At 32.9% G+C, this 7,551-nt stretch overlaps 1 annotated feature.

Annotated features, from left to right (window-relative positions):
- Positions 1,255–1,424: an enhancer, noted in NCBI's record as "experimental_75852 CRE fragment used in MPRA reporter constructs". NCBI's record gives its function as "activates a minimal promoter by MPRAs in K562 erythroleukemia cells, with activity observed for both the introgressed and non-introgressed 4:167245852 variant alleles {active_cell/tissue: K562}" and the evidence as "EXISTENCE:reporter gene assay evidence [ECO:0000049][PMID:34662402]".

A 7,551-nucleotide genomic window follows, 5' to 3' on the forward strand; every position in this document is an offset into this window, starting at 1 on the left:
GATTTATCTATTCTCATGTGCTCCTGTAACTACCTTCACATATGTCAAGCTGTACTGTCATTTGATAATAGTCGCTTTGGAGTTTCATGGTGTGTACAAACTGTGACAGCTTTACCTAATAAATAAAACTGAAATGTCTTCAGAGATTTCACAACTGTCAAATATCATGGCTCTGTTGGGAGATGTTTAGTTTTGCTGGCATTTAATCTCTTATTTTCAAATGTCATTCTTTGGACATTGCTGTTGTTTAAATGTACAAAATTTGAAAAACCACTTTAAGACATCACATAATAGAGTATGCATAATTTAAACTAAGTTTTAAAACAAAGTTTCAAATATTTTCTATTTTTTCATAACAAGTGTGATTATCAATTTTTTATTAGCCATTCTACATATATGTATCCTGCCTTCGTCTAAAGTGCTTCAAGTGTGTGAGGGGAGGGAAGGATGGCTTCCTCACAAATATATTTCTAGGAGGTACTTGGTAGCTTCTGGGGAAGCATGAATCTGAAACAGTATGATTAATTCAGGAACAAAATATGACTTGCCAAAAGAGAAAGGAAAATAGGATAGCATGTGTATTGAAAATAACCAATGTTTTCTGTTGTTGTTGTAATTTTAATTCATTTTTTTCTGGTTTGATCTCAAGCATTTAGTTTTTAGCTTTATGAAGAGACAAAACATTCAACAACAAATATACAGTTTTGGCCTGTAAAAAAATGAAAGCCATCATTCACAACCTTACAATAAGTAAAAGGTGACACACTGGAAATTAACTATTTTTCTTGGACCCATCTGAGAACTGAGATCCCAAGGCAAACCACCATTCTGAAATCTAGACTGATGGGCAAATCCAGAGAGCCATAGCTGAGACCTTATCTGGAACAGTCACTGGAGTCATACTGAACATTCGCTAAAACAAAAACCTATTTTCTCTCCAGTAAAAAGACTTACCAGAGTCTTATCCCACCTAGAGGTAGGGCACTGTTCCAACTCCAGCCTTCTCTAGCATTCCTGTCTAGCCAAAGGTAGGGAGGAGGGAGGAAGCTATATCGCTGGAGAAAACACTTGTGAAAGTCACATTACAGACATGGGCAAACAAAAATATTGACACTTTATCCTGCAGTGATAGAACACTTATGTCACCCACACCTTAGCGCCAAACCAACAGAGGGCGCTGGTATAACAGATTACAGTGGAAAGGGCTATAAAAACAAACCACAAATCAAAACCAGTTTAACAGAAATTAAGAATGTCTCTGATTGGCTCATCGGTAGACTGAACATGTCTGAGGACAGTATCAGTAAACCTGAGGATATGCCCATAGAAACTTCTCTAACTAAAATACAAAGACAATTTTAAAAATAATGACAATAGTATAATAAAAAGAAGAGAACATCCCAGAATTGTAGTCAGTTTCCAAAGATATTAAATATGACACATATATTAGGAATACCAGAAGCCGAAGAAATAGACAAGGAGCAGAAGAAATATTTGAATTAATAATGACCATAGTTATTTCGAAAGTAATGATAGAAGCCAAGTCACAGATTCAGGAAGCTCAATAAACACCAAGAGGAATAAACACCAAAGCATCTACATATAAACATATTGTATTCAAACTGAAGAAAAACAAAGACAAAGATTAAAAGTAGTCTGTTGAAATCATACTATTGAACGTAGTTAGAGAAAAACAAAACAAGACAAACACCTTGGTAATAGAGGAACAAGGGTAAGAATTGCATTAGCCTTCTCATAGAAACAATGCAAACAATAGAGTTGAGTAAAATATTGAGAGTTGAAAGAGAAAAACTACCAACCTAGAAGTCTATATCCATGAAAATTTTTCATCGAAAGTGAGACAGAAATAAAGACATTGCCAGAGAAACAAAACCGAGGGGATTCATTATCAGCAGACTTGCCCTGGAAGAAAGGTTAAAAGAAGTACTCCAGGGAAAAGAAAAGTGATAAAGATCAGAAGCTTAGCTCTACAAAAAGAAAAGATTAATGTCAGAGAAGTAATGAATACAGGTAAATTTTTTTCCTTATGTTTAATACATAAAAGTTCTAATACAGAACTTTTCAAAGTAATATTAGTAACAAGGTAGTGAATGATTATAGGCTACGGAGAGACAAAATGAAAAGCCGAAAGTATTTTTCCCTAGGAAAAACTTGGGAATACTCTCTAATAAGAAAACTACACTAACAGTGAAGGAGAATAGGTTATTTGAAAGTGGAATTAGGTTAGTTAAAAACATACATTGTGAACTCTCTGGCGACCATTAAGATAATTTTTAAAACGAAATATGATTGATATTTTAAAGAAGAGAGAAAATTGAGTTATGAAAAATCACATAAAATCTTATTTAAAAACCAGAGAAGGCAGAAAAACAGGGAGAGGTTAAAAAAGAAAATAAATAAATAACAAGTACAGTAAATAGAAAATTGTTACAAACATAGTAGATATTAATAATTACTTTTAATGTGAATGGCCTGTATACACCAATTAAAATGCAGAATATCCTTAGTAGAAGCAAACAGGACTGAAATTTTTTAGTGTACTTGTGCTTAGCTTCCTGAGCATCTCTTGAGCCTTACAGGAATCTCTTGGTTTTTAACCATTTGCTAATTCTTGTTCTCTAGTCTTCTGTTGATTTTATGAGTCTCTCAATATTATGATTCTAACATATTCCTCTTCTGCTTGTGTTACCAAAGGCCTCATTCTGTGTCTTCCATGAAAATTCTTATCAGAAATAGAACTTGTAACTATTTTTGTATCTGATAAAAATAAGTTGACACATTAGAAAGAAAACTTATTTGGCAACATTTCACCATAAATAAAATTCTGACTTTAGCAAAACATGTTAAGACATGCTATATTTTGAAAGTGTCTCTGAAACATCATGTCATATTTTGAAATCAAATTTACTTTAGCACAAACGATTGTTAATCCAAGTTTATCTTTCAGTAACATTCGGCAATTTGTTTACCTTACAATTATGGTACACTTCACTGCCTTGATGATCGATGTATTGCTAATGAGAATGAAAGAAGAAAAGGAAAATGAGCCACTTTAAGAGGTGAGGTAACAATCTGCAAAAATCACAGTAGCAAATTCACAAAGGCATTTATTGTTGAGATCCAGTCATTAACTACTTGTGAAATGAGATCTGCAAAACAACTCAAAAACGCTTTCAAAGGAAGCAACAAAACCATGCAACAAATAAATTAAAATACAAATCTAAGCAACAGAAATAACCAAAAATACTTCACAAAAGGTCTTCTGGGAAGAGATTTTTAGTAAATTGGTGTTCGATGAAACTTGTTTGTTTTAATCATAGATATGAAACTGTCTATGTTTTACACAAAGCTTAAATATTGATAAATTTAGTGTTTTATGGTTAAACATAATGAAACCTTAGAATAATTGCAATTTTATGTATTTTCAGTTTGTTGAAACCACTGGCCAATTGAAGCAAGTTAACACATCCATTTTCTCTTTAAGATCTTGTTGATCTGTGTTCACAGCTTGGTACAAAGCAAGCATTTTGAATCCATGTGAGTGATTATCATGGCAAAAGTAAGGATATAATTTTATAGCTGCTTTTATTACTGACTTAAAATCAAGGCAAGGGTTCAATTTAAAGACTATGAGGCCACAGTTTCGTTCTCCTATTAAAATTCTAAACTTAAAAGTTTACAGATTTTTGTTTGTTTGTTTGTTTGAACAGAGTTTCGCTCTTGTCACCCAGGCTGGAGTGCAAGGGCACGACCTAGGCTCACTACAGCCTCTGCCTCCCATGTTCAAGCGATTCTCCAGCCTCAGCCTCCCGAGTAGCTGGGATGACAGGCGCCTGTCCCCGTGCCTAGCTAATTTTTTTGTGTTTTTAGTAGAGACAGGGTTTCACCATGTTGGCCAGGATGGTCTCGATCTCCTGACCTCGTGATCCGCCTGCCTCGGCCACCCAAAGTGCTGGGATTACAGGTGTGAGACACCACACCCGGCCTAATATTTATTATTTAAAAATTACTTTTAAAGGATGCTTATCAGATTGCAGGAGGCAATTTTTAAAATCTCATCTTCCCATAGACCTTAAGCTCTTGAAAGCTGTTCTTTTGTGGTAATTTACTCTATATTGGTGGGCTTTGTGATAAGCTTTGAATGACCTTAATGTATTAATGCAATCTATGCATAATTTAATTGAAATAATAAATCTGAGCTGTTCCGTAAAACTATTTTTCATGAGATAATTTTAAGAGATATTTTTTCTGTGTATGGAAATTGAAATGGGGGTCTTTTTTTTTTCCCCAAGGAATAAAAACGTGAGTGCTTATCATTCAATAACTGTAACATTTGTTTATAGCTACATCTAATACAGAATACATAAATCTTGAGGCTGCTAAGCTTTTTTGCACAAAAAGAATACTTATAGCATAATAATAGCATATTGCCTTCCTACTTCATTTCTAAGACTTCTGAACATATTAGAGAGTTGGCCAAGTTTAAAGCTTATGACTCTCCTTTCCAGGTTAAAACAGCCTAGACATTTAACAAGTTACTGTGTTCTACAATTTAAATTCCTTTCTACTGTGACTTTTTACTTACAACGATATGTAATATGTATATATATATATGTATGTATGTATGTATATACATATATGTATGTATGTATGTATATACATATATGTATATATGTATATATATGTGTATATATACACATTTTGCATATGCTGAATTTGCATTCTTATTTTTACATATGTTATATGCAATATATAATTATATATAATGCAAAAATTAGAGATTATAAATTCAGTATATATTTCTGCTTTCCCAGATTTTCAATTTTATTATGATATTAAATGTATTTCCATTTCATTTACTATTAGTGTAATGCTTTCTTTTAACATTTACTGTGGCTTTCAGTTTTTATTTTTCAGTATTTAGCTTTGCAATATTCTGACATGAAGCCACCTTATTATAGATAACTCAGTTCATACTATAAAAGCAGTTTGTTTTACCTGAATAAATTTGATACCAACTGACAAGTGTCATAACGTTTTTTCTCCAATTAACTTTTTGGTGAGAGTCACCTCAGTATTCCCTCTGATATTTTTCTTTGATATCTGATCCCTTTGGAGGCTCTAAAAATTAATGCTTCATTAACCTGGTATAAATTAGGGAGCAAACCTGGCCATCTATATAGATTTTCTACTTCTTGAATTTAAGAGTATGCTATTTTTTCTGAATTATGAAATATTTCCAATTTAAAAGCATAAAAAAAGTTTATTGTCTTCTGAGTTTAATATGAGCTTCAGATTTTAACTTTGAAAGCAAACAGATTTAGTGAGTTCCTGTGAAGAATGAAGAAAGGAAGAGTTACTTAGAACATGCCTGTCAGACTTTTGTGGTGTTATGTATTTAACATAAAATTGAATGACCTGGAAAAATATTTAATGATACTATTGTATCTCTGTCATAAAAAGATACTTCCAAAACATCAAAGTGACCTCTCAGAAAAGCATTTATTAACAGTGTAAAAAAGATTATTTCCCTGTTATTCATTAGTTCCCCTGCAATTCCTTTTTAGAAAGGTATTGAAACAGACATTTTTCTTTGAGGACCTTATTTATTGCAAACTTTCTAGTGAACTGAAGAAAGAAAAAGAAAGGGAGAGCTGAGAAAGAGAGGAAGGGATGGAAGGAGGGAGGGAGGGAGGCAAGGAGCAGGGGAAGGGAGGGAAGAAGGAAGTAAAGAAAGAAGGAGGGAAAGAGGGACAATGAGAATGGGAGATTATACTGGCAAATCTTTAAAAACTTCTGGGTAATTTACTCAATCTGCAACTTCCAATATCAGATTTTGTCAGAAAGATATGAGATGAGAGTAAGCTGTAATTTTTAAATTTAATTCTAGATGCCTTTTAGCAACATACCAGTAAAGAAAACTGAAGAGACCCCCACTCTTCTGAGGCTTACAAGATAGAGGAAGCAGGGCGATCAAAACTAAGCAATAGACAGAAGATCAATATATCTTATATGGAACATAAGATGTGTTAATATATACATATTAACTTATTGAATATATATTATATATATGAATATATAATATTATATAACTACATACATTAACATAAGTTGACTATGTTGCATGTTAGAAGCTGGAGAGTGCTATGGAATAAAAACAGCAGGATTAGGGAGAAGAGAGGGCAGAGGAGGGCATAATTTTACTCAGTTTGGTCTGGATCAGGCCATTTCTACCATACCAGTCATTTCTTTAGTGCTTCTTTCAATTAATTCCCATCCCCTACAGGAAGTTTGTTTTCCATCACCATAGATCACTTTATTCTAGTCTAATACATCAGATAAAAGAAATCACACAGAATTATACTGTTTTGTTTCTGATTTTTTCCTGTTGACATACTATTTTGGAGTTTTTTCTATATTTTTACATCAGTAGATAATTTTTTATTGTTGTATAGTATTCCACTGCATGGATGTGCTGCAATTCATATAAACATTCACCTGTAATCAACTGGATTGTTCATAGTTTTCAGCTATTATGAATATAATTGCTGTAAACATTCTTGTACAAATTATATTATATATATATTTTCATTCTTAGAAGGGAATTGCTAGATCAGAGCATAGGTGAAGAAAACTAGTGTATAAGACACTGTTGAATAGTCTTGCAAAGTGACTGTATTGTTTTCTATTATAAGAATATATCAGAATTCAATTGCTCTTAATTTTTGGCAATATTTCATGTAGTAAGTCTTTTTCATTTTAACCATTTTAGTAGTTATGAAATTGGATGAATTGTATCTCACTGTGGTTATAACTTTCTTTTCCCTGTGGAATCATGTTTGGCAAATTACCTTTCATGTGAATGTTGGCTGTGTGAAAAAAATATCTGTATAGGTGGTATGCCCATTTATTATTGATTGCTTTTCTTCTCATAATTTGTGGAAACACACACATCCACCAACACACACACAATATATATATCCATACACACACACACACACACACACGTATACACACACACACACATTTATTCTGGATACAAGTCTTTTGCCAGATAAATGTATATCTATTAATTCCCCACAGGCTGAGGCTATCTTTTTCTTTTCTTGTCTTCACAGTTTCTTTATTTTTTTAATTTATTTTTTATCTTACTTTAAGTTCTGGGATACATGTGCAGAATGTGCAGGTTTGTTACACAGGTATACATGTGCCATGGTGGTTTGCTGTGCCTATCAACCCATCATCTAAGTTTTAAGTCCTGCATGCATTAGGTATTTGGATTAGGTATACCTAATTAAAAAGTCAGGGAACAACAGATGCTGGAAAGGATGTGAAGAAATAGGAACACTTTTACACTTTTGATGGGAGTGTAAATTAGTTATTTCTTGTCTTCTGCTAGCTTTTGAATTTGTTTGCTGTTGCTTCTGTGGTTCTTTTAATTGTGATGTTAGGGTGTCAATTTTAGATCTTTCCTGCTTTCTGACGTGGACATTTAGTGCTATAAATTTCCCTCTTGACATTGCTTTAGCT

The sequence above is a fragment of the Homo sapiens genome, chromosome 4 (assembly GCF_000001405.40).
Source record: "Homo sapiens chromosome 4, GRCh38.p14 Primary Assembly".
NCBI classification, from domain to species: Eukaryota; Metazoa; Chordata; class Mammalia; order Primates; family Hominidae; genus Homo; species Homo sapiens.